Source organism: Homo sapiens, chromosome 1, assembly GCF_000001405.40.
Source record: "Homo sapiens chromosome 1, GRCh38.p14 Primary Assembly".
Taxonomy (NCBI): domain Eukaryota; kingdom Metazoa; phylum Chordata; class Mammalia; order Primates; family Hominidae; genus Homo; species Homo sapiens.
The window spans coordinates 54651550-54679018 of record NC_000001.11 but is presented as its reverse complement, the minus strand read 5'-3'; the positions used below and the strand labels follow the sequence as shown (position 1 = coordinate 54679018).

Below are 27469 nucleotides of genomic sequence, written 5' to 3'. Positions count from 1 at the left end.
TGTGGCACAGACTGGAGGAGGAGGGCACTCAGGACAGGCGTGGGTGGCTGGGAAGGCGTCCTGCAAAGCCTGGAAAGCTAGAAGGGAAGAAAGCTTTGGGGCCAGGTGGCACTGCCCCTCCTCACCCCCCACCCTCCGCTCCTGGATGGGCACCAGGCAGTCACCTCGATCACCCGCAGAATGTTCTGGCACGGGCTCACAGGGTTGTAGGGCCCCAGGAAATGCTTGTTGCTCTCATATAGCTCCTTTTTGTTGGTCTCTTCCTTATCTCTGGCTCCTGCAAGATGAGAACCTTCTCAGTGAGGCCGGATCTCCCTATTTTTGTTAAACATACATGTAGGAAGTCCCTACATCATAAGGAACTAACTTGATACATTTTCACATAGTGAACACACCATTGTAGCCAGCCCCCAAGTCAAGAAGCAGAACGTGATCAGCACCCCAGAAGCCCCTCTTGTGCACCCCTTTCCATCAATAGCCCTCTCCCTGACCCTGGCTAAATACTATTCTAATTTCTCAACCCTTAGAGAGATGTCTTTGCTTTTGAACTTTAGATAAATGGACACGTTATCCTTGATGTCTGTCTTCTTCTGCTCAACATTATATGGTTGAGATTCATCCACACAGTTGCATCAGCATTAGTTCTTTCATTCATTCTCAGTGCTGTATAATTTCCCACAGTATGAAAGACTATGATTAGTTATCAGTTCTATTTTTGATGGACATTTGGGTTATTGCCAGCTACTAAGCATCGTGCTGCTAAGAACATTCTAGTGTGTCTTTTGATGAGTATATCTACACAGTTGTTAGTTGTATACCTAGGAATGGATTGCTGGGTCATAGTCTAAGCATAGGTTCGGCTACAGAAGATATTGCCAAACAGTTTTCTATGATGGGAAATCAACGGTAACCCCACCAGCAGTGCACGAGAGTTCCCATTGCTCCACATCTTGCCAGCACATGTCATTGTCTGTCTGTTTCATTTATGCCATTCTGGTGGATGTGTGGCAATACCTCTTTTAAACTGCAATCCCCTACCCCTGGTGGTACCAATCCTTTTCTACTTTTCTTTAGTTTTTGTCATCATCTGACTTGCTATATGTGTTACTTGTTTATTTTGTTTACTATCTTATCTCCCGACAACGAGAAGGTACTCTCACCAAAGGAGGATTATTTAATCTCTTTTCCCCACTCCTGTGTCCCCATATCCTAGAATAGTACCCGGCACATAGTGGCTTCATATTTTCAGCTGAAGGGAGCACATTTCAGGCGCACTTCCTGAGCCCTTATTTCAGCCCACCTTGGGTCCTACCTGGATCTCCTCAAGGAATACAGGACGTGGGCACAAGAAAGGGCCACCAAGGCAGAGTGTTCACATAGACCAAGTGTGTGTGCTGTTTGTAAAGGAGAGGAGCTGGATACCTGCAGTCAGGCCAACTCAGGTTCAAATCCTAGCTGTGCTGCTTCCTACAGTCAGGGGGCCTGGACAGACCACTTCACTCATTGAGATTAAATCTTGAGAGTGGCCGTGGGCAGTGGCTCACGCCTGTAGTCCCCACACTTCGGGTTTTTTGTTTGTTTTTGTTTTGTTTGTTTTGTTTTGTTTTGTTTGTTTGTTTTGAGACACAGCCTCACTCTGTCGCCCAGGCTGGAGTGCAGTGGTGTGATCTTGGCTCACTGCAACCTCCGCCTCCTGGGTTCAAGTGATTCTCCTGCCTCAGCCTCTCAAGTAGTGGGGACTATAGGCATGCGCCACCACACGTGGCTTATTTTTGTATTTTTAGTAGAGACAGGGTGTCACCTTGTTGGCCAGGCTGGTCTTGAACTCCGGACCTCAGCTGATCCACCTGCCTTGGCCTCCCAAAGTGCTGGAATTACAGGCGTGAGCCACCGCACCCGGCCTGTAATCCCAGCACTTTGGAGGCCGAGGCAGATGGTTCACTTGCGCCCAGGAGTTCCAGATCAGCCTGGGCAACATGGAGAAACTCTGTCTGTACAAAAAATAAATTAGCGGCTGGGCACAGTGGCTCATGCCTGTAATCCTAACACTTTGGGAGGTCGAGGGGGACGGATCATGAAGTCAGGAGTTCGAGACCAGCCTGACCAACATGGTGAAACCCCATCTGTATTAAAAATATAAAAATTAGCCAGGCACGGTAGTGCATGCCTGTAATCCCAGCTACTCAGGAGGCTAAGGCAGGAGAATCTCTTGAACCCGGGAGGTGGAGTTTGCAGTGAGCTGAGATCGCACCACTGCACTCCAGCCTGGGCGACAAAGCAAGACTCCAGAAAAAAAAAAAAGAAAAGAAAAATTAAATAAGCTGGGCCAGGCACAGTGGCTCACACCTGTAATCCCAGCACTTTGGGAGGCCAAGGCAGTCAGATCACTTGAGATCAGGAGTCCGAGACCAGCCTAGCCAAAATGGCAAAACTCTGACTCTATTAAAAAACACAAAAATTAGCCACCTGTAGTCCCAGCTACTCGGGAGGCTGAGGCAGGAGAATCGCTTGAACCTGGGAGGCGGAGGTTGCAATGAGCCAAGATCGTGCCACTGCAATCCAGCCTGGGCAACAGAGCTACACTCCATCTCAAAAAATAATAGTAATAAATAAATAAGCTGGGCATGGTGGCACGTGCCTGTAGTCCCAGCTACTCTGGAGGCTGAGGTGGGAGGATCACCTGAGCCCGGGAGGTTGAGGCTGCAATGAGCCATGATTGAGCCACTGCACTCCAGCCTGGATGACAGAGCAAGACTCTATCTCAAAAAATAAATAAATCTAAGAGTATGGTTCTTGCCTGCTAAAAAAAGAAAAAAATAAATAAAATCTAAGAGTATAAGTTTGGCCTAGGGTTGCCAAATAACATACAGGATAACCAGTTAAATTTGAATTTCAGATAAACAAATCATTTTTAGTGAAAGTACATCTCAAATATACTAAAAATTACCCATTGTTTACCTGAAATTCAAATTTTACTGGGTATCCTGTATTTTTTATTTGCTAAATCTGGCAACCCTAATTGGGTCTATAATTTCTACTCATTTTCCTTTCTTTCTTTCTTTCTTTTTTAAATGAGCTGCCTCGGCGGGGTGCGGTGGTGCACGCCTGTAATCCCAGCACTTTGGGAGGTCAAGGCGAGCGGATCACTTGAGCCCAGAAGTTCGAGACCAGCCTGGTCTTGAAACCCCAGTATTTTTTTTGTATTTTTGGTAGAGATGGTGAAACCCCATCTCTACCAAAAATACAAAAAAAATTTAGCCAGGCATGGTAGCATGCTCCTGTAGTCCCACTTACTCAGGAGGCTGAGGTGGGAGGATTGCTTGAGCCTGAAAGATTGAGGCTGCAGTGAGCCGAGATCGTGCCACCGCACTCTAGCCTGGGCAACAGAGCAAGACTCTGTCTCAAAAAAAAAAAAAAGGCAGCGTCCCGAGCCAGAATAGGCTCACAGAGGCTCCTACTCCTACCCCTAAAGCTGGTTATTAACATGGCTTATACCACCTTCATCCATCCTCCAGAGATGTGAGTGGCTCCTGGTCAACAGGGTAAATCTCCCAGGGACCAGATCTTTGTCCCAAATGCTAGAGATCAAGAAGAGTGAGGATACCAGATAAATCCCAAAAGCTTGAAGGGATAGGAAAAAGTGAACTACATGACAAGTGCCTATAATGTGTGGCACTGAGCTAGTACCTTTACATATGCTCTTACAAAATATCTCACTTAATCTTTCAAAAAGCATGAATTTAGGCTAGGCATGGTGGCTCCTGCCTATAATCCCAGCACTTTAAGAGGCTGAGGCAGATGGGTCACTCGAGGTCAGGAGTTTGAGACCAGCCTGGCCAACATGGTGAAATCCCGTCTCTACTAAAAATATGAAAATTAGCTAGGTGTGGTGATGTGTGCCTGTAATCCCAGCTACTGGGGAGGCTGAGGCAGGAGAATCATTTGAACCCAGGTGGCAGAGATTGCAGTGAGCCAAGATTGTGCCACTGCACTCCAGCCTGGGCAACAAAGCCAGACTCTGTCAAAAAAAAAAGCATGAATTATGAATTATATCTGAGTATACCATTTTCACAGATGAGGAAATCTAGGCCTACACAAAGTGATTACCTGAGGTCACACCACTAAGCAGCGATAGGAGCAGCTCTTATGCAAAGGTCATTCTACCCCCAGAGCCAGGAGAGTTTAAACCACATGCCAAGGTGCCCTGGTTTAGGGCAGAGCTAGGATGATGGAGAAAGGAAGGAGGCAAGTGACAGCTGATACTGTGCACCTCTAGGTACAATGCCTTCTGGATACCTGTGTCAGCCCATACCACATCACGAAGTGCTCCCTGAAGCTGAATCAAGGAAAGTTCTCCCAACTACAAGCTTTAGCTGCTCTGGATTCTAAGACAGAAGCTGTTCTTTATTCATTCATTCAATAGATATTCACTGAGCACCCACCATGTGCCAAGCCCAGAGATGGCCCTTGGGAATACAGGGGTGACCAAGATACAGCCCTGCCCTTCCCTCATAGGATTATAGTCTCTAGTGGGGAAAACAGACAGGAAAACAAGGTATTAGGGGAATTATCCTTAGGTATACATAGTATTAAGGGACTATGAAAATGACAGTCACAAACTAAGCTTGGAAGGATGAGAAAAAGCAAGATTGCTTAAATCAAAATAGTTTTGTTTGTAGCCTTTGTCCCCTGGTTCTCTGGGGTCTTGGGCTTCACACCAGTTTCCACAGTCCCCATCTGGCCCTGTGCTGGTTTCCCCCATCTCCCACCAGTGCCTTAATGCCAAGGCTCCAGCTGATTCTTTATTGAATCCAGACTGAGCAACAACTCAGAAGACTTCCTTCAGAAGTACTCCGATAGGGCTTACGTTTTTGGAGCTCCAGAATAGTGTAGAGGATGATGATGCCGTCCAGAGCCTCACAGCCAATCTCCTCATCAGGATCCCCAATGTGAAGGATGAGTCTCCCCAGCAGAAGCCCCAGCGCCGGGAACCCCAAGGGCATCTGTTTGTATTGCAATCTTAGGGATTGAGTGTTATAGGTTCAATAATGCTATACATTAAATGGTGAACACCGGTGGATAGTCTGGCCCAGATAGCACAGCCCTCTGAAGATGGCAAGAGCCACCTGGGAATCCCTGAACAGAGGTACGGGCTCCTTCAGAAGTGGGAAGATTTTCCCTAAGAGTGTCCACCCCTCCCAGGGGCCACTCACAAAGAAAGGCAGAGTTAGAAGCATGTGGTTCAACACAGAGACATTGGTGTTCACAGCCCGTGCTCGCTCATGGGCCTTCCCAGAGTTCATCCAAGGCCCCAGGGCCTGTGGGATCAAAAGCAAGACTCAGAACTACAGGTTAGATGACAGCCCCTGCTGCTGGGTGGACAGGCCAGCCTTCACCCATCAGCAGGAAGCTTCCAGAGAGGGTATAAAGGTCACCACAGCCCTCCTCCTCTTCTTGGGGTATAGGCAGAGATAGAGTTCAGAATAGGACTGACAGACTATAGGGAAGAAGGAAGTCAATGAGGAGACAGATGAAGAGTGAAGAGTCATGAAGACAGAAGAGAGACGCAGGGACAAGCATGGGAAGAGCACAGAGATGGTGGCAGCTATAACCATGGGCAGCCATTTAGAGAGTGGGGGGATGGGGAGAGAGTGGGGAGAGGCAGGAGTCTGGGACAGGGCCTGTGAGACAGACAGGGAGGCAGAACACTCACACAAGATGACATCCTGAAGCCAAATCACTCCTAGGTCTGGCCTCCACTGCTCCTGCACCAATTTCTCTCTTCCCTCCACCCTTCCTCCCCTCCCTTCCTTGCCCCTCCCATCTCCGCACCTCCAAGATGCTCTTCAGCCCAGCAGGAGTGGGGTCCTCGATAAAGAGGGCTTTGAGCAGTGTCTGCAGGGCCTCCAGGGTCTGATGGTAAAGAGCCTGTGGATGGGAGGAGGACCAAGCCACTAAGGCACCTCTGGAGCGGACACCAGCCCCAGGCGGCCCCTGGTGTAGGTCAGGGGAGGAGGGGGAATTAAGACCCAGGAAAGCTGCTTTCTGGTCCCACCTCTGAGACTAACTTGATGTGTAATGTTGGGCAAATTACTTCCCCTCATGGGTTACAGTTTCCTTATCAACAATTGCTAATTATTATCTCTGCACTTTCTACCTTAAAGAGGAGGGAAGCGGAGATCCAGCATATACTGAGAATCTACCATGGACCAGGTGGCTACCTGGTGATTTGCCACCTTGTCCACAAATTGTTTTTCTCATTTTACAAATGAAGGGACAGGGACACTTGTCCAAGATCACAGAACAAGAAGTTTCAAGTCATGAGGAGCAAATGAGAGGATGGATGAGAAAATGCTCTGGAACCGCAAGAGCTGGATCAATGAAAGAGCCAATCTTACTTTCATCATCTCCGGGGAAATGCTCTGATTCTTTTTTGAATTGCTTCTCCTAGGCCCAAATACGTTTTCCAAGTTGCCCCTTAAGGAAGCCATCTCTCTCCTGCCTAGGTTTCTCATCCCTTACCCACACCACCATCCCAGAATTGTCTTATGGTTACCAGCATTACATGTACACGAGGCTGGGCAGTGGGTTTGAGTTACTCTGAGAAGACCCTCTCTTTTTTGCCTCCCCTCGTCCTGCCAGCTCCCTAAGTGTGCCTCCTAGGTTGTTATTGTCTAGACTCCCTGAGTCTGCACACACCCTGAAGCCAGTGGTCCTTGGGGTTATACCACAACCACCAAGAAAGCCTGGCTCACCACCTGCCTCCTCCTTCCTGCCCATCTCTGCAGATTACTATGCAGCACTGTCCTCTGCTGGCTAAATCTGATACTACAAGAGGGCGGCCTCCTTTTTTCAGTCACCCCCACAACCCCAGTCTTCTCCAAGGGCACCACCTCCGGGATGCTGGCATTCCAGCCTCACTTCCCAGAACTCTCACCTCACCCTCTGGGCTCCAGTCACACTGCCACTTTGTCATCCTCTGCCTGGAATGCTATTCCTTCTGCCACCCTCTGTAGCTAATTAGCTCTTCTTTAACCTCTCAGTTTCACAATCACAACCCCTGACCCCCATCTAGGCCTTCCCCTCCCCTCTGCCCCACCATTGCAGGCTCTTTATAGCACCAAGTACTTCTGGCTTGCAGCATTTATGATTGGTGTAATTTTGCACTTATTCGTATTTATTTATTTGATACCATCCATCTCCCCCACACTCACCTCACCTGTAAGGCTCCTGTGCTGAGTTCAGCATGGAGTAGGTACTGAGTTACTATTTGCTAAATGAAGTGATGAATGAATGTGCTGCACCCTGCGCTAAAACCCTTTGCCTTAACCTTCCCCACTGACCCTCACTCCCCTTCATCCTACCCTGAGGGTCACCTCCACCCCTCCTCCCAGGAATGCCTGGAGAGGTTTGAAGATGCTCGCATGAGCCCCCTGAGGTTCTGCTTCTCCAGGCCTCATCCCCAGTTCCCCCAGTCTGTCTTCATTACAGCCTAAGCCTCAGCCCTGCCCCTCCCAATCCTGGCCGCTTCCCCTGGCCATACCGTCATCTGCCCACATCCCTCCCATAGGGCAGGGCCCAGAAGTGGACAGGATGGGTGTTTTGTTTCATTTTGTTTTGAGACGGAGTCTCGCTCTGTCGCCCAGGCTGGAGTGCAGTGGCGCAATCTCGGCTCACTGCAAGCTCTGCCTCCCGGGTTCCAGCCATTCTCATGCCTCAGCCTCCTGAGTTGCTGGGCCTACAGGCGCCCGCTGCCACGCCCGGCTAAGTTTTTTTTTTCTTTTTTTGTATTTTCAGTAGAGACGGGGATTCACCGTGTTAGCCAGGATGGTCTCAGTCTCCTGACCTCGTGATCCACCCGGCTCAGCCTCCCAAAGTGCTGGGATTACAGGTGTGAGCCACCGCGCCCAGCTGGGTGTCTTTATTTGAATGATTCATCCCTTCACCATTTATCAAGTACCTACTCAGACCAACAGAAGTCAGTTGAATTGCCCAAGGCCACAGACCAATGAGCCGGAGGATGCAGCTCCATATCTCCTCCCAGAACATGGGCCAGCCCTGAGGCCCTGCTGGGAAGGTCCCGCCTCACCTGGATGGTCTCAGCCTTGGCCTCGTCCTTCTCCTGCATCGCCTGCACGGAGGGCAGGGAGAACACGCTGTGCACACACACGTTCACCAGCTCCGACCTCTCCCGCATGCCCAGGGTGGGCTGGGTGTGGCTGGAGAAGAGGCAGAAAGCAAAGAAATGGAGTGAGAGAGGGGCCCTATGGCTATAGACGGGGGCTGAGCTGAGGAGCACAGGGACTGGGCAAGGGGAGGGGAAAAGGCACCGGGCGAGGGGTGGGGGCGGGTTGGGGGAGGGTACAGCGAAGAGATGGAGGGAGGCAGAAGTGGAGGAAGAGAGGAGAGGGGCTGTGGGAACAGGGAGAGGGCCATGGACACCTCAGCTGGGTCAGGATCTCCATGGCCTGCTTGCGGACGGAGCTTGAGAGAGAATCCAGTGGCTCCTCCTGGATCTGCCTCTGGACAGGGGGCCACAGAAGGGCCGATGAGGACAGGGCTACTGCAGGCCACCAGGGCCAAGGCTGCCCCCGTCACAAGGAGCAGGTCACAGCAGCCAGCATACCCTCAAGTGCTCCTCCCGCCTCAGCTTCCCAAGTAACTGGGACTATAGGCTCATGCCACCACACTTGGCTAAGTATTTTTATTTTTTGTAGAGGCAGAGTCTTGCTATGTTGCCCAGGCTGGTCTCAAACTCCTGAGCTCAAGCCATCCTCCTGCCTTGGCCTCCCAAAATGCTGGGATTAAAGACATGAGCCACCATGCCTGGCCTCCAAGAGGCATATTCAAACTATGGAACTGGTCCAAAGCAAAAACCACTATGTGTGGCCCTTGAAAACTGCCCAGTTGCATTCCTTTAAAATGTTTTTTTGTGTTTTTTTTTCTTCTTTTTAAGATGAGACCTCATGATGTTGGCCAGGTTCATCTTGAACTATTTTTTTTTTTTTTTTTTTTGACATGAAGTCTTGCTCTGTTACCCAGATTGGAGTGTAATGGCACAATCTCGGCTCACTGCAACCTCTGCCTCCCTAGCTCAAGCGATTATCTTGCCTCAGCCTTCTGAGTAGCTGGGACCACAGACACGTGCCACCATGTCCGGCTAAGCTTTTTTTATATTTTTAGTAGAGATGGGGTTTCGCCATTTTGGTCAGGCTTGTCTCGAACTCCTGACCTCAAGGGATCCACCTGCCTTGGCCTCCCAAAATGCTGGGATTACAGACGTGAGCCACCACACCTGGCCAAATGTCCATTTCTTTAAGATACAGAATTAGTTGGGTGTGGTGGCACATACCTGTGGTCCCAAATCTCGAGAGGCTAAGGCGGGAGGATCCCGTGAGCCCAGGAGTTTGATGCTGCAGTGGGCCATAATGGCGCCACTGCACTCCAGCCTGGGTGACAGAGCATGATCCTGTCTCAGAATAAAGTATGTCCTTCTAATTGCTTCTCATTTTTGATCTAGCACCTACACATAGCAGATGTTCAATTAATGTTAGTTAAATGAAGGTATGGAGGGCAAGGACTTTTTTGGTTGTCTCTGTAAAGTACACAAACACAGATATAATTTTGGAAGCTTCAGTGGTTATTCAGTGGTTATTCCTGCCCAGTCCATTCTGGTGGAGTGACTGTATTTATCAAAATGATGAGGAAACTGCCTAAAGTTGCCCACCAGAAGGAATTGCTGGGAAAAGAATGTATTAAGTAATAAGAAATGCTTCTGGGTGTACAAGCCTTTACTGTAGACTAAGCATTGGGTTGTGTCCTCCCAACAAGCCAATGGCACAGGTATTATCACACCCATCTGTGAGATGAGAAGAGTGAGGCTCAGAACTTGCCTGAGCTCCCTCTGTGTAGGTGGAGGGCAGTTCGAGGTGGAGCTGAGACTCAATTCCCGATGTCCTGCCTCCTCATCCCGTCCTCTTCCTACCTCAACCTCCCACCCCTGCGGTCTCATCAGTGGGTGGACTCAGGAATTCTGCCCCCTCCCACCCCAATGCCACAGACCCGCCTGTGGCTCCCCCACCATAATCTTCTTTATCATGGTCTTCTTTTCTCCTTCTGCCTCCAGCAGATCCTGGCTCTTCTGAAGGGTGGTGACATTCTCAACCTAGGGGACAGCAGAGGGCAAAACCTCAGAGTGAGAGACCCACTGAGCCCAGTCCTCAGGGGTTGCCCATACAGCACTGTTAACCACCCGACACCTACAGGCAAGCCAGCATTGGTGCAAGAGAAATGAGAGGTCCCCACAAGGGGAGCTTGGGGTGGGGTAAAGATTGGAGAATATTGAGGGGTTGGAGGAGTTAATCCTGAATGCCAGCATTTGGAAGAGGACCAGATATGAGGGACTGCAAAGTACTCCCCCCTTCTCCAGTCAGCTAAGGAGGGGACAGAAAGGGCCCCAATCCCTCAACCTGAAATTGCACCATTAGTAACACTTCATATGGGTCTCCCAGTACATACAAGTCAGATTGAGGCATTCTGCTACCTGAGAGAGAGAACACATTAACCAATATCCAACTAATCTCTCCGTTCTCATCATGTTAAGGGAGAAGAAGGAAAATAAACAATGACCATGAAATAAGAAAACTAATTTCATATAGTAAAGAAGAAAATACAAGTTAATTTGATGAGGTGTGTGGCATATTGAAAATGGCTGCAAGTTCTTTTCTGCTCCTCCTATCCAAAGGACAGATTCCTCTTGAATCTTGGCTCATTTTACAACTTGCTTTGAACAGCAGAATAATGTAGAAGTGATGCTGGGCCAGTTCCTGGACTAGTCCTTAAGGAAACTGGAAGCTTCCACTTTTTCCCTCTGGAACTCAGCCACTGTGCTGCCAGGAAGCCCAGGCTAAAAGACAATGATTACAGACCATGCAAAGAGAGGCCCTGGAAAATGAGAGGGTCATCTTGAATATTCCAGTCCCACTGAGTGATCTCAGTCTATACTGTGGAGCAGAAGAAACACCCAGCTAAGCCCAGTCAAACTTCAGAATCATGAGAAATTGGGCCTTTCCAATTCTAATGCCCCCAGCACCCAGGCTGGAATGCAGTGATGCAGTCACAGCTCGCTATAATCTCGAATTCCTGGGCTCAAGCAATCCTTCAGTCTCAGCCTTCTGAGTAGCTAGGACTACATGGACTACATAGGACTACTGGGCCACCATGCCCAGCTGATTTTTTTTTTTTTTACTTTGTAAATTTTTGTAGCTGGGCATAGTGGCTCATGCCTGTAATCCCAGCAACTTGGGAGGCCGAGGTGGGCAGATCACCTGAGGTCAGGAGTTCAAGACCAGTCTGACCAATATGATGAAACCCTGTCTGTACTAAAAATACAAAAATTAGCCGGGCATGGTGGCATGTGCCTGTAATCCCAGCTACTTGGGAGGCTGAGACAGGAGAATCACTTGAACCCAGGAGGCAAAAGTTGCAGTGAGCCGAGATCACACCATTGCACTCCAGCCTGGGCAACAAGAGCTAAAACTCCAACTTAAAAAAAAAAAATTGTAAACACTGGGTCTCACGATGTTGCCCAGGTTGGTCTCAAACTCCTGGCCTCAAGTGATCCTCCCACCTCAGCCTCCCAAAGTACTGGGATTACAGGTGTGAGCCACCATCCCTATCCCAGAGTGAACTTTTAAACCACTAAATTCTGGGGTGGTTTGTTAAATAGCAATAGGTAACTTAAACTGTAAGAGTGATGACAGAGGGATGGCTAATTTAATCCAAATGGTCAGAGAAGACCACTCAGAGGAGTTAACACCTGGGCTGAGTCCTAAATGACAAGAGCTAGCTATGCAAAGAACTAGGGGGAAGGCCTGTGTGTCTCCCCAAACTAGAATGTCAGGTCACACCATTGTTGTATTCCCAGTGCCTGAAACAGTGCCTGGCACATAGTAGAGGCTCAATTAAATGTGTTGAATGACAGTGTTAGGGCTCAGAAACTGATACCCCACAATATGGTGTTTGGACACACTGAATTGAAGAAGCTTCCAGGTCTTTCTGATCTCTCCCAAAGTACAAGATGAAGTCAAAGTTCCTTGATTTGCCTAAGATCCAGATCTACCAAGGAGATCAGCTGTTGTTCCTTCCCTTCCCTATAAGACCAAGAATGTAACCACATCTGAACAGACCCTTTCACAAGATAATCTCTGTTCCTGATCCATTAATTCTTGCTACTAATCCCTTATTGCTCCTCAACAGAATTCCTCTTCTCTTGCTGGGTGTGGTGGCTCACTGCTATAATCCCAGCACTTTGGAAGGCTTAGGCAGGAGGATGGCTTGAGCTCAGGAGTTCAAGACCAGCCTGGGCAACATAATGAGACCTCACCTCTAGGCAAAAAATTAAAAAAAAAATAGCCCAGGGCCGGGCACAGAGGCTCATGCCTGTAATCCCAGCTACTCAGGAGGCTGAGATGGGAGGATTGCGTAAGCCTGGGAAGTTAAGGCTGCAGCAAGCCAAGATTGCACCACCGCACTCCAGCCCGAGTGACAGAGCGAGACCCTGCCTCAAAAAAAAAAAAAAAAAAAAAAAAAAATTCCTCTTCTCCCGCCTCCTATAACCTGTTTTGCCAGGATCCAAGCCCCCATTTTTTCTGTAACCTCAAAATGGTATATAAGTTTCTGAGCCCTCATTGGGGGGCAGGTAATCACTCTGTGCTTCTCTCCGTGTACTCATTAATAAATGTGTGTACATTTTCTCCAATTAATCTGCCTTTGTGAGTTGATTTTTTTCAGCAGACCTTCAGAGGATGAAGGGGACATTTTCCCTTGGCCCCTATGACATCAATAAGAAGTCTTCTTTTTGCAGGCGCCATGGTAGGTGCTGTGCATATCATCTGGCATGGGCCTCACTTCAGCTTTGTTGTGCCCATTTTATAGAACTTTCCTGGCAGAAGAAACACGTGCAAAGGCCCTGGGGCAGGAATGAGTTTGGCGTGTGTGAGAAACAGAAAAAGGCCAGTGTGGCAGGAACACAGTGGACAACTAGAAGGACGCCATGGGATGAGGATAAATGCTCCCTGAATGCAGGGCCTCCTCTTAGTCCAGTCACTTCTCCCCATCTCCGCCCTGCACTGCCCCAGGGACTGAAGCTTGGCCCTGAAGCAGCCTGCAGGCAGGACCTGCCTCCTGCATGTCTGGGCCTGGATGGATCCCCCACCTCCTCCACATTGTGTCCATCAAGCAGCCTTGTCCACACTCCCTGTGTCGCACTCACGTCCACCGGTTTGTCTAGTCTTCCCCACTGGCCATCTCCAAGTCCTGCAGATGCAAGTGTGCCTCACCTGCTGGACTGGTCTTCTTGGGCCTCCTGAGCCTGCCACATGGCCCAGACCTGGGTTGGGCCTGACTGTCCTGAAAAAAGGCCACTTCTAGACTTTCTGCCCCTTTCAGAGCCCCTCTCACAATTCATTCAATTGTTTAAAAATATTTTATTGAGCATCTATTATGTGCCAGGCACCGTTCTAGGTGCTGAAGTTATAGCTGTGAATAACAGACAAAAATGCCCGAGTAATGGAGGATATGTCCTTGTGGAGGAGATGAACAAGAAAGAAGATGAATAAACAAAGCATATGGCACATCAGACGGCAATGAATGTTATGGAGAAAAGGAGAGCTGGGCAGAGGCATGGGGAATGCGGAGGCTGCTGGGCTGGGGGGTAGGGGGTTGGCAGGATGGAAGTATCCCAGCACAGTCAGCTAGGGGTTGGGCAGGAGGCATACCAGAGCCATGTTGTTGCCACCTTCTGTCTTCTCTGGCACCTTCACCAGGCATGAGGTCACTTCATCAAAGGCTCCTGCAGGGCACGATTTCAATGAGAAGGTGGATAAAGCTGTGATGTACCTAGGATGCCATCATGCCATCTCTCTCCTCCCCCTCTAGGCACCTCCAATCCTTACCCCACCCCAGCAGCCACACTGAGCTTTCTTTTCTTTTCCTTTTTTTTGAGACAGTCTCACTCTTATTGCCCAGGCTAGAGTGCAAGTGCAATGGCGCTATCTCGGCTCACTGCAAACTTCAACTTCCGGGTTCAAGTGATTCTCTTGCCTCAGCCTCCCAAGTAGCTGGGATTACAGGCACCCGCCATCACACCCGTCTAATTTTTGTATTTTTAGTAGAGATGGGGTTTCACCATGTTGGCCAGGCTAGTCTCGAACTCCTGCCTCCAGTGATCCACTCGTCTCAGCCTCCCAAAGTGCTAGGATTACAAGTGTGAGCCACTGCACCCAGCCTACACTGAGCTTTTAAGTGTACATCAGCTCATGTCACCCCCTCCCTAAAATCCTTCAGTGACACTGCATTTCATTGAGCACAAAGCCAGCATCCTTGCCAAGACCCTCAATGCCCTGCCTGGTCGGCTGTGCCCTGCCCTCCTCTGCAGCCTTATCTCCCACCACTTGCCTGCTTCACTATGCTTTGGCCACACCAGCCTCCTTCCAGAACTGGGCACATTTCCCCTCAGGGCCTTTGCACGGTGGTTCCCTCTACCCGGGCCACTGCTCGCCATACCTCCTTGCCCCACTAAGGCTCTCCTTCAGGCCTAGGCTTGCCTGCCAGTCCTGAGAAAGGCCACCCCCACCCTGGGGCTCTGCAAAGGCCACTATGGTCTTGTCGTGCATTGTCCGAATCTCTTCTTTCAGCAGGTACCACAATTCATAGCTAAACACCTACTTGTTATGAGAGGCATCTGCTGTTCTGTCAGCCCCCAATCTCTTCACTTTCTTTTGGTGAAAGAGCCTCATCTTTCCTGGGTGCACCCTATTCCATGTAGCTAGGTGAAGCTGGATTCCTCAAGACACACCCAGCACCCACTCTTCAGATAGGTGTGGGCCTGGGACCCAAGCTCCACTCCTAAGAGTGTCCCATGCCTCCAGCCACAGCGATTGGTCCAGGGATGAAAACTTACTGGGCAGGACCAATAGAGTCCTTTATTTAAGGGAGTTGAGGGGAACACCAAAGGAGAGAGGATCTTTCTCCTTCTGAGGACAAGGTCACTGGGGCCTATGAAAACCTGGAACTTCAGATTCTCGATCACCAGAGGACGCTGGAGGATGGAGAAGTAGATACACCAATTGTAGTGAACACAGCCAACACCAAGATCTTAGCTTCTAAATACCTTTCCCCACTAAAAGGAACAAGGCTCCTTGGAGAAAAGGTCGATTCCAGGACTCAAGCAGGGAAAGTCCAGGATGAACCTGAGACACCTGAATGATAAAGACATGTCAAATGTCAAAGGGACACAAAAGCTTGTTTTTTTTTTGTTTTTTTTTTTTTTTTAGAGCTGATGGGGGCCGGGCACGGTGGCTCACGCCAGTAATCCCAGCACTTTGGGAGGCCAAAGAGGGTGGATCATCTGAGGTCAGGAGTTTGAGACCAGCCTGGACAACATGGTGAAACCCCACCTCTACTAAAAATACAAAAATTAGCTGGGCAATGGTGGTGCACACCTATAATCACAGCTACTAGGGAGGCTGAGGCAGGAGAATCGCTTGAACCCAGAAGGCAGAGGTCTCAGTGAGCCAAGATCGCACCACTGCATTCCAGCTGAGGCAACAGAGCAATATTTCATCTCAAAAAAAAGAAACAAGAGCTCGGGGCTCTCGCCATGTTGGTCAGGCTGGTCTTTACAAAAGTTTGCTTGAAGGGGAGTCCACTGATCAAATTGAGAAAAAGTTGAGTATCACAATAAATTGTGAAAAAAACGGATTATAGCCCATTGAATAAACTAACAAACCTTGAGTCCATACTATACAAATAAATAAATAAATAAATAAATGGAAAGTTTGATGAGGAATGGGATATTCACATAGTTTCAAAGTACCTGACCACACGATATTTACTACAAAGGGGTAAATATTGACTTCACACTGGAAAACCTTGGCAGCAACCATCCTACTCAAGTGATGAAAGCAAACAGCATCAGTAACAAACAAATCAAAATTATGAGGCACCAGACAGGATGCAATGAGAAAAACCCAGCGTCACTTCTGTGCTATTCCTGCCAAAAATGCATGGCCTGAATCTAATCATGAGCAAGCATCAGACAAATCGAAACTGAGGCACATCCTACAAAAATAGCTTGCCTGTCATCTTCAAATGTATCAAGGACAAGAAAGTCAAAGAAAGGCTGAGGACTGCAGGAGACAGATCAGACTAGAAAAAACGTACAATGAGTGGTTCTGAACTGGATCCTCTTGCTGTAGAGAACATTACTGGGAAAATTGGTGACTTTTGAATAGGGCCTGAGGATTATATGGTAGCTGTGTATCAGTATTAATTACTCGATTGTGATAGTTATATTTTATCCTTTTTTGTAAGAAGTACACTCTGAAATTCAGGGGTGATGGGGCATCATTTGGAAACTTATTCTGAAATGATTCAGGGAAAAAAATTTATAGTACGTTTTCAACTTTTTTTTTTTTCTTTGAAATGGAGTCTCACTCTGTTGCTTAGGCTGGAGTGCAGTGGCGCCAATCTCGGCTCACTTCAACCTCCACCTCCCAGGTTCAAGCAGTTCTCCCACCTCAACCTGCTGAGAAGCTGGGTTTACAGGTGTGTGCCACCATGCCCGGCTAATTTTTGTATTTTCAGTAGAGACAGGGTTTCACCATGTTGGCCAGGCTGGTCTTGAACTGCTGGCTTCAAATGATCTGCCCGCCTCGGCCTCCAAAAGTGCTGGGATTACAGGCATGAGCCACCACACCCAGCTCAACTTTTCTCTAAGTTTTGTTTTGTTTTGTTTGCAGATAGGGTCTTGCTCTGTCATCCAGGCTGGAGTGCAGTGGTGCAATCATGGCTGACTGTAGCCTCGCCCTCCTAGGCTCAAGTGATCCTCCCACCTCAGCCTCCCAACTAGTTGGCACTACAGGCCCACGCTACCACATTTGGCTAATTTTTACATTGTTTGTAGAGATGGGAGTCTCACCATGTTGCCCAGGCTGGTTGCAAACTCCTGGGTTCAAGCAATATTCCTGCCTCGGCCTCCCAAAGTGCTATGTATTACAGGTGTGAGCCACCATGCCCAGCCCTAGGTTGGTTTTTTAAAATCATTTAAAAAATATTTTTAAGGCCAGGGGCGGTGGCTCACACCTGTAATACCGGCACTTTGGGAGACCAAGGCAGGTGGGTCACCTGAGGTCAGGAGTTCAAGACCAGCCTAGCCAATGTGGCGAAACTCCGTCTCTACTAAAAATACAAAAATTAGCTGGGCATGGTGGCGGGCGCCTGTAATCCCAGCTACTCAACAGGCTGAGGCAGGAAAATCACTTGAACCCAGGAGGCAGAGGTTATAGTGAGCCAAGATTGCTCCACTGCACTCCAGCCTGGGCAACAAGAGCAAAACTCTGTCTCAAAATAAACAAACAAACAAACAAACAAACAAACAAATAATATTTTTAAGTACCTACTATATGACCAGTACTGTTCTAAGCACAGATTATAAAAGTGAACAGGGCCTGACGTGGTGGTTCATGCCTGTAATACCAGCACTTTGGGAGGCCGAGGTGGGCAGATCACCTGAGGTCAGAAGTTCGAAACCAGCCTGATCAACACGGAGAAACCCCATCTCTACTAAAAATACAAAATTAGCCAGGCATGGTGGCACATGCCTGTAATCCCAGCTACTCAGGAGGCTGAGGCAGGAGGATCACTTGAGCCCAGGAGTTTGAGTCTGCAGTGAGCTATGATTGTGCCACTGCACTCCAGCCTGGGCAACAGAATAAGATCTCATTTCTTTAAAAAGTTTAAAATTAATTTAATTTAAAAATAAATAAAAGGCTTCACCAAGCCACAGACTTGGAGAAAAGAGTCAAAATTCATGTATCTAACAAAGAACTCATATCTGAATTACATAAAGAATTCCCACAAACCAATAAGAAAAAGAGACAACCCAACTTTTTTAAATGAGCAAAATGTACATGCCGTTCCCTTCTGAAATTAAAAAAAAAAAAAAAGCACAAAACGTTTGAACTGGTACTTCACAAAAGAGGATACGCAAATTGACAATAATCATGTAAAAAGATGCTTAACATCAGTAGTTATCAAGATATGCAAATTAAAACCACAATGAACTATCACTAGACAGAAATCCCCTAGAATGACTATGATTTTTTATTTTTCTCTTTTTTTTCTTTTTTCTTTTTTTTCTGGAGATGGAGTTTTGCTCTTGTTGCCCAGGCTGGAGTGCAATGGTGCAATCTCAGCTCACCGCAACCTCCACCTCCGGGGTTCAAGTGATTCTCTTGCCTCAGCCTCCTGAGTAGCTGGGATTACAGGCATGTGCCACCATGTCTGGCTAATTTTTTGTATTTTTAGTAGAGTTGGGGTTTCTCCATGTTGGTCAGGCTGGTCTTGAACTCCTGACCTCAGGTGATCCGCCTGCCTCAGCCTCCCAAAGTGCTGGGATTACAGGCGTGAGCCACTGCACCCGGCCTGACTACAATTTTTTTAACTGATAACACCAAACCTTGGTGAGAATGTGGAACAATTGAAACTCACATTGTTTGTGGAAGCGTAAATTAATTCAGTCATTGCTGTGGTTTGAATATTTGTGTCCCCTTCAAAATTCATGTTGAACTTAATCTCCAATACAATAGTATTAAGAGGCAGAGACTTTAGGAGGTTGTCAAATTATGAGGGCTCCACCGTCTAGAATGGGATTAAGGCCTTTATAAAAGAGGCTTCATACAGAGTTCAGCCCCTTTTTGTCCTTCCACCTACCACCATGTAGGGATACAGCAAGTGGGCCCTCTCCAGACACCAAATGCTGCTGCCTTGATCTTGGACTTCCAGTTTCTAGAACTGTGAGAAAATAAATCCCTGTTGTTTATAAATTACTCAGTCTCAGGCATTTTGTTATGGCAGCACAAACAGACTAAGATTACCACTTTGAAAAACTGTTTGGCAATATCTCTTAAAGCTATAAATACGCCTGCACTATGACCCAGAAATTCTACTCTGACATAAATAAGTGTATCTCTGCACCAAAAGTCATGGTCAACAACATTCACAGCTACTTTATTAATAACATCCAAAAAATAGGAACAATTCTAATGTCCATCAGCAGCAGAATGAATAAACAAACTGTGGTATATCCATACAATGGAATACTACAGAACACCAAAAAACAATCTACTATTGAAATACACAATATGGATGAATCCAACAGACATAATGTTGCACTAAAGAAGCCAGAGTCAAAACAGTAAGTACAGCCGGGCACAGTGGCTCACGCTTGTAATCCTGGCACTTTGGGAGGCCGAGGCAGGTGGATCACCTGAGGCTGGGAGTTCAAGACCAGCCTGACCAACATGCAGAAACCTTGTCTCTACTAAAAATACAAAATTAGCCAGGCATGGTGGCTAGCGCCTGTAATTCCAGCTACTCAGGAGGCTAAGGCAGGAGAATTGCTTGAACCCGGAGGCAGAGGTTGTGGTGAGCCGAGATCATGCCATTGCACTCCAGCCTGGGCAACAAGAGTGAAACTCCATCTCAAAAAAAAAAAAAATACAAAAATTAGCCAGAAGTGGTGGCAGACACCTGTAATCCCAGCTACTCAGGAGGCTGAGGCAGGAGAATTGCTTGAACCCCGAAGGTGGAGGTTGCAGTGAGCCGAGATTGTGCCATTACACTCCAGCCTGGGCAACAGAGTGAGACTCCATCTCAAAAAATAAATAAATAAATAAAAATTAAAATACAAAAAATTAGCTAAGCGTGGTGGTGCATGCCTGTAATCCCAGCTACTCAGGAGGCTGAGGCAGGAGAATCACTTGAACCTGGGAGGCAGAGGTTGCAGTGAGCCGAGATCGCACCATTGCACTCCAGCCTGGGCAACAAGAGTGAAACTCCATCTAAAAAAAAACAAAACAAACAAACAAACAAAAAAACCACACACAGTAAATACAGTATTATTCTATTGGCAATAAGTTCAAGAATAAGCAAAACTAGTCTATGGTGATGCAAATCAGAATTGTCACCTCCGGGGCAGTGATTAGCAACCAAGAGCAGTTGTCCCCCCAACCCCCATGGAACATTCAGCAATGTCTGGAAACCATTTTGGTTTTTACAACTGGAGGGTGGCAATGGGAGGTTGCTACTAGCATCTACTAAGTAGAGTCTAGGGATGGGTGCATTTCATAATGCATAGAACAGCACCCCCATCCCCACTACCAACATAGACACACACACACACCAAAGAATTTCCCAACACAAAATATCAATAGTGCCAAAGTTGAGAAATCTAGCCCCAGGAGAAGGATTATTGATTGGAAAGGGACACAAGGGAAGCTTCTGGGCTTCTGGTACTTGATCTGAGTGGTAGCTACCACAGTGTATACTTCTATAAATTTTCATTAAGCTGTATACTTGAGATGACTAGCACACTTTACATATTTTACTGATCCATCTTATACCCCAAAAAAGTTTTTAAAAGGCTACTATAATTTGAAAATACATTGTTTTAAACAAGCAAATGGACAAAATGCTCCTATTAAAAAAGCAAAGAGTGGCCCTGATAGCCAAAACAATCTTGAAAGAAGAACAAAGCTGGAGGACTCATACTTCCTGATTTCAAAACATACCACAAAGCTATAATAATCAAAACAGCACGGTACTGGCATAAGGACAGACATATAGACCAATGAAACAAAATAGAGTACCCAGAAATAAACACATTTATGGTTGGTCTATTTTTGACAAGAATGCTAAGAACATTCACTGGGGAAAGGACAGTTTTTTCAACAAATAGAGCAAGAAAAACTGGATATCCACATGCAAAAGAATGAAGTCGTTATATGAGGTACCTAGAGTAGTGAAAATCATAGAAACAGTAGAATGGTGGTGGCTAGGGGCTGGGGGACTGGAAAATGGGAAGCTATTGTTTAATGCATATGGAGTTTGAGGTTCATAAGATGAAGAGTTATGGAGAGGAAATGGTGCCAATAGTTGCACAACATTATGAATATATTTAATACCACTGTATTAAACTGTTCACTTAAAAATGGCTGGCCAGTCATGGTGGCTCACACCTGTAATCTCAGCACTTTGGGAGACCTAGGCAGGTGGATCACCTGAGGTCAGGAGTTTGAGAGTAGCCTGGCCAACAAGGTAAAACCCCATCTCTACTAAAACTACCAAAATAAGCCGGGCATAGTGGCACACACCTGTAGTCCCAGCTACTGAGGCTAAGGCAGGAGAATTGTTTGAACCTGGGAGGCAGAGGTTGCAGTGAGCTAGGATCACACCACTGCAATCAAGACTCCATCTCAAAAAAAAAAAAAGGTTAAGATAGGGCCAGGTGTAGTGGATTATGCCTGAAATCCCAGCACTTGGGGAACCCAAGGCAGGAGGATCATTTGAGCCAGGAGTTCAAGACCAGCCTGGGCAACATAGCGAGGTCTCTTCTCTACAAGATATTAAAATTAGCTAGATGTAGTGGTGTGTGCCTACAGTCGTAGCTATTTGGGAGGCTGAGGTGAAAGAATCACTGGATCCCAGCAGTTTGAGACTGCAGTGAGCTATCATCGCTCCACTGCACTCCAGCCTGTGTGACAGAGTGAGACCCTGACCCTAAAAAATAATAATAATAATTTAAAAATGTTTAAGATGGTAAGGTTTGGCTGGACATGGTGGCTCATGCTTGTAATCTCAGCACTTTGGGAGGCTGAGGCAGTGGATCACTTGAGCCCAGAAGTTCAAGACCAGCCTGGGTAACATGGTGAAATCCTGTCTGTACTAAAAATATTTAAAAAATTAGCTGAGTAGGGTGGCACGTGCTTGTAATCCCAGCTACCTGGGAGGCTGAGGCAGGAGGATCACTTGAGCCCTGGAGGTGGAGGTTGCAGTGAGGCAAGATCATGACACTGTACTCCAGCCTGGGCAACAGAGTGAGATCATGTCTAAAAAAAAAAAAAAAAAAGATGGTGAGAATTTTTTTGTTTTTTATATAGACAGAGTCTTGCTATGTTGCTCAAGCTGGTCCCAAACTCCTGACTTCAAGTGATCCTCCTGCCTTGGCTTCTCAAAGCACTGGTATTACAGGCATGAGTCATTGTGCTGGCCTAGACGGTAAATTTTGTTATGTATATTTTACCACAATTAAAAAACTGGAAAAAAAGAAACTTTTTTATTTTTATTTTATTTATTTATTTATTTTTGAGACAGAGTCCCGCTGTGTCGCCCAGGCTGGAATGTAGTGGCACGATCTTGGCTTACTGCAACCTCTGCCTCCCAGGTTTAAGTAGGAGCCTCCTAAGTAGCTGGGATTACAGGCCCCGGCCACCACATCAGCTAATTTTTGTATTTTTAGTAGAGACAGGGTTTCACCATGTTGGCCAGGCTGGTCTCAAACTCCTGACCTCAGGTGATCCACCCACCTCGGCTTCCCAAAGTGCTGGGACTACAGGCATGAGCCACCGCGCCCAGCCTGAAAAAAAAGCTTTTTTTTTTTTTTTTTTTGAGATGGAGTCTTGCTCTGTCTCCCTGGCTGGAGTGCAGTGGCTCAATCTCGGCTCACTGCAACCTCCATCTCCAGGGTTCAAGTGATTCTCCTGCCTCAGCCTCCCAAGTAGCTGAGATTACAGGAGTGTGCCACCACACCAGCAGATTTTGTATTTTTAGTAGAGAGGGGGATTTGCCATGTTGGCCAGGCTGATCTGGAACTCCTGACCTCAGGTGATCTGCCCACCACAGCCTCCCAAAGTGCTGGGATTACAGGCGTGAGCCACCACACTCAGCCGAAAAAAAAACTTTTCAATTAAAAAAGAATACATTGGGACAGCTGTGGTGGCTCATGCCTGTAATCCCAGCACTTTGGGCGGCTGAGGCAGGCAGATCACTTGAGGTCAGGAATTCAAGACCAGCCTGGCCAACATGGTGAAACCCTGTCTCTGCTAAAACTACAAAAATTAGCCAGGCATGATGATGCATGCCTGTAGTCCCAGCTACTCGGGAGGCTGAGGCAGGAGAATCACTTAAACCCAGGGGGCGGAGGTTGTGGTGAGTGGAGATCATGCCATTACACTCCAGCCTTGGTGACGGAGCAAGACTCCATCTCAAAAAAAAAAAAAAAAAATACTATAAAGTATCTACGATTAGCCCAACCCAGGGTGCACTAGACTTCTATGAAGAATTTTTTAAATCCTAGTAAAGCATATATCCTATGTAAAGGAAAGTGTGAATAGGTGAATAAATTGATAACATTCTTTAAAAAATGCAGCAAGATTTTTTTGAGGCCCTAAAAAAATCCCTAAGAAACCCTAGAAATGCATTCTAAAATGTACAGAGGCTGGGCATGGTGGAACATGCCTGTAGTAGTCCCAGAGCTCTGGGAGGACGAGGTGGGAGGATAGCTTGAGGCCAGGAGTTCAAGACCAGCCTGGGCAACGTAGCAAGGCCCCATCTCTACAAAAAATAAAAAATAAAATTACTCAGGTGTGGTGGTGTGGTGTGCACCTGTAGTCCTAGCTACTCGGGAGGCTGAGGCAGGAGGGTCTCTTGAGTCAAGGAATTCAAAGTTGCAAGGAGCTATGATCACACCACTGAACTCCAGCCTGGGCAACAGAGTGAGACTTTTGTCTCAAAAAATAAAATAAAATAAAATGTTATCTACTAATAGCTAAGTTGATTTTCAGAACAATTTTAAAGGATTCTCGGTCGGGTGTGGTGGCTCAAGCCTGTAATCCCAGCACTTTGGGAGGCTGAGGCAGGCGGATCACCTGAGGTCGGGAGTTCAAGACCAGCCTGACCAACATGGCAAAACCTTGTCTCTACTAACAATACAAAAATTAGCTGGGCGTGGTGGTGGGCGCCTGTAATCCCTGCTACTCAAGAGGCTGAGGCAGGAGAATCACTTGAACCCAGGAGGCAGAGGTTACAGTGAGCCAAGATCAAGCCATTGTTCTCCAGCCTGGGCTGCAGAATGAGACTCCCACTCAAAAAAAAAAAAAAAAATAGGATTCTCATCAGATATGAACACCTATTTACAAAACCATGGTCCTTTTTAAAAAATCTTAATATAGTATTGGCGCATGGACAAATAAAAATGGATTAAGAAAAGATATTTACAGCATCAGAAACTGACAGGGGATTAATTTACAGAAATCCTACAAATCAGGAGGGAGGCACAGGTTCCAGACAGGACCCCAAGGCCTTGCTCAGACCTGAGAAGCCAGGTCTAAAATGTATCAAGGAAGAAAAAGATGTACATTTTGAATGGAAGGGATAGTTTGTTGATACAATAGACATAATTTGGACAGAATAGAAGTATTATACAGTGATTTTTTTTTCTTTTTTGAGACGGAGTTTTGCTCTTGTTGCCCAGGCTGGAGTGCAATGGTGAGATCTCAGCTCACTGTAACCTCTGCCTCCCAGGTTCAAGCAATTCTCCCGCCTCAGCCTCCCGAGTAGCTGGGATTACAGGCATGCGCCACCACGCCTGGCTAATTCTTTGTATTTTTAGTAGAGACGGGGTTTCACCATGTTGGCCAGGCTGGTCTCAAACTCCCAACCTCAGACGATCCACCTGCCTCAGCCTCCCAGAGTACTGGGATTACAGGCGTGAGCCACTGCGCCCGGCTATATACTGATATTACAGTCAATGAAGTTGAAGCTCAGGCAGATTAATTAGCTTGTCCCAGGTCACATTGCTAGCAGAGGCCGATTATTAGATGTCTAGTATAGAATTAATAAATCATATGTTATCAACTGCCTGCTGTCCCCTTCCTTCCTTCTCCTCTCCCTGCCCTAAGAGTCTGAAGACAGAATTCCTCCAGGACAGTGCTCTCTCTAGGGCTGCGGCCCTGGCCTTACCCTCAGGGATGCCTTGCAAGGTCACGGCGTCCTTGCCTGCGGGGTTGGAGATGGGGAATCCCAGCGGGAACTGGCCCACCTTAATGCTGGCCATCTCACTCCAACTCTCCAGATTCTCCTCCAGGGGCACAGTGTGGATGCTGTTGTCCTTGGCATCATCCTGCTGACTGCTCAGCGTCAAGGTGGAGGTGTCGCTGAACAGGAGGCTGGAGTCCAGGCTCAGAGTCTCATTGGAACCCAGGATTAGAGTCATGCATGAGGGTGGAGAGATGGTGGAGTTGGGCTCATGGGTGCTGGAGTGCAGGCTGATACCATAGCTGGAGCCAGGAATCAGGGTCACATACGAGGCTTGAGTGATGGTCACGCTCAAATCAGATCTGGAGTGGCCGCTGGAAGCCACATTCATGGTTTCCTTTGAACTTGTGCTCCAGGTGGTACTAAAGGCTCCTTTTGAAACAGACTCAGAGATATTATGTGAAGCCAAAGTGATGGTCTCATTTGTGTCTGGGATTAGGGTCCCATGAGAATCTGGAGCTACATTCAGGTTCAGCTTGGAGGTGTTTCTTGAGCCCATGTTGAGCAATGGATTGGAGTCAAGGTCCAGAGAAGAGTTTGAGGTTGGAATAAGGAGTGCTTTTGAGCTTGGCCTAGAGATGCAGTGGCCCAGAACCAGACCTTCTCTGGAATGGTGCCTTATAAATGGGTTTAATTCATGCCTAGAAGGGTTGGAGTTTCTCTGACCCAACTTGAAAATCTTACTTGAGAGGCACTTGAAGGCATCTTCAGAATTTGACTGAGGGTGGTTCCCAGAGCTCAGACGAGGGGCCTCAGTAGAGCTAGGGCTCAGAATGGGGTTTGAGGCTGGACAGAGGCGCCCCTGTGAGTCAGGCCTTGAGACATCCTTGGAATCCAGGTCCAGGGCTTCACCAGAACAAGAACTGGTGATCTGGAGGGAGGCTGGAGCGATAGCTCTGCTGTCATCAGGTCTGGGGGTGTTTTCAGACACCAGGCCTGAGGCCTCCCCTGAGACTGGACTCAAAGAATCATTAAGATCTGGAACGAGAGCCAAGCCAGGACTTGGGAGCAGATTCAACATAGGCACCTGAGCCATGTCTGGGTGGGGCTGAGGGATGGTACCAGACCCTAATCCCGGGGCCCCACAGGAGGGGGGACTTGGTGTCATCTTTGGGTCTTCATGGAAGACCAGGTTAGCCCCTGGACTCAGGGCCATGTCCAGTCTGGAGGTCTCTCAATGCCAGTGCCCGCTTCTCTCCAACAGCCAACTGTCACATTCCCAGCAGCAGTCTTGAGAGAGAGAAAAGACAAATGCAGCCATGCCACACCTGTTAAGGCTTTTCCAGGGCTCCCACTATTCTTAAGATGAAAGCCCCTTGCTGTGACTTACAAGGCCCTGGTGACTGTGCCCAGCCCACCTTTCCAGCCCATCACTTGCCACTTGCCTCCACAGTCTCTCAGTTCTGTTCTTTGACCACAACCTGCTCCCTCCTGGCTCATGATCCTGAACAAACTCAATCCCCTTGGCTTGTAGGATTGCATGGGGGTAATTCTCATTATCCTTTGCTTAATCCCACTTCTAGCAAAATACTCAGCACATTTCATTCCAGTGAATTCATTTAGTGTTCTAGCTCTTGCTAGAGATGAGCTTTGCAATGACAAGAACTGTGTATACCTTGGCCCCTGGGGCAACCCCAGCTCCTAGCCCAGTGCCAGTTACACAGTTGGAAGCTTACAAATAGACAAATGAGGAGTCTCTTCTACTTTAAGGCAGAAAAAGGGAAGGAAGAGCCTCCTTATGAGTTACCCCACTTCCAGCTGGCCACATGTGACAGGGTAACCTAAGTGCACCAACAAGGAGCCCTGAGCCTTGCAAGATTGGGGTGCTCCAAACCAGAGACAAACTCCTAAGTTGCTAGAACTACTCTGCCAGTACCCATGGCACTAGATTCTCACAGCAACCCTGGCAAAGCTGCCTATAGCCTTAACAGTTTGCTTGTTCCGGGTGAAGTGGGCTCTGTGGAGGAGACCATAGGGCAGCTGTCAAACACCTGCCTTAACACAGCAATCTAACTGCTGGATGAACTCCCCAGTCCTCCCAGCACCCCTACCCTCAATCTGGGGCTACCCTCCCTGTGGGAATCATAGGGACAGCTCACCTGCATGCATGGTGTTTTTAAGCAGGAGCGGGCCCCTGGGAGGAGATGCAGAAAGAAATCAAGTCAGGGAAGAGTGCCTTTTTCAACACTTACTGCACAGTCCACAGGCCAGGCATGCACGTCTGTTAACAAGCTCCGCACTACACACACACACACACAAACACACACACACAGAGAGAGAGAGAGAGAGAGAGAGTAAGTTTAATATTTATACATAAGGAAGTGAAGGTCAAAGAGAGGAAGGTCACTCACCCCACTGGCCTTCTGGGCAGCCAACACCATCTCTAAGCCATCCCCTTGCCTAAACCCCTCCATGGCTTCCTGTTATCTTTAGGATAGAGTCCTCCAGTTGTTAGCAGACCCAAAAGGCCCTCTGTATCTGGCCCCAGTCCCCTTTTCACCCTTTTTGCCCCTCCATATGTCCCTTTCCTTTT

General features: G+C 47.6%; 1 protein-coding gene and 1 long non-coding RNA gene across 7 annotated transcripts in view; both read right to left on the bottom strand.

Moving 5' to 3' along the window:
• MROH7-TTC4 (MROH7-TTC4 readthrough (NMD candidate)) overlaps positions 1–27469 on the bottom strand; it is a 100918-nt gene that overhangs the window by 63639 nt on the left and 9810 nt on the right. The window contains 11 exon segments of one of the 3 annotated variants that reach the window (NR_037639.2): positions 165–277; positions 4868–5019; positions 5214–5318; positions 5833–5928; positions 8090–8219; positions 8443–8522; positions 10082–10165; positions 13779–13852; positions 19830–19904; positions 24862–26166; positions 27036–27175. This is a non-coding gene — a long non-coding RNA (MROH7-TTC4 readthrough (NMD candidate)). 3 annotated transcript variants of the gene reach the window in all.
• The window catches only part of MROH7 (maestro heat like repeat family member 7), a 68481-nt gene that overhangs the window by 31248 nt on the left and 9764 nt on the right, over positions 1–27469 (bottom strand). For 2 of the 4 annotated variants that reach the window (NR_111931.2, NM_001039464.4), the window contains exons 2-11: positions 27036–27070; positions 24862–26166; positions 13779–13852; positions 10082–10165; positions 8443–8522; positions 8090–8219; positions 5833–5928; positions 5214–5318; positions 4868–5003; positions 165–277 (exon numbers count right to left, since the gene is read on the bottom strand). Coding sequence is in view for 2 of the 4 variants with exons in the window: in NM_001039464.4 (NP_001034553.3) it covers positions 165–277; positions 4868–5003; positions 5214–5318; positions 5833–5928; positions 8090–8219; positions 8443–8522; positions 10082–10165; positions 13779–13852; positions 24862–26092 (2049 nt within the window). In the remaining 2 variants the exon portion in view is untranslated. Of the gene's footprint in view, positions 1–164; positions 278–4867; positions 5020–5213; positions 5319–5832; positions 5929–8089; positions 8220–8442; positions 8523–10081; positions 10166–13778; positions 13853–24861; positions 26167–27035; positions 27071–27469 lie in introns of all 4 variants that reach the window. The other 2 variants (NR_026782.3, NM_001291332.2) reach the window with 2 other exon arrangements.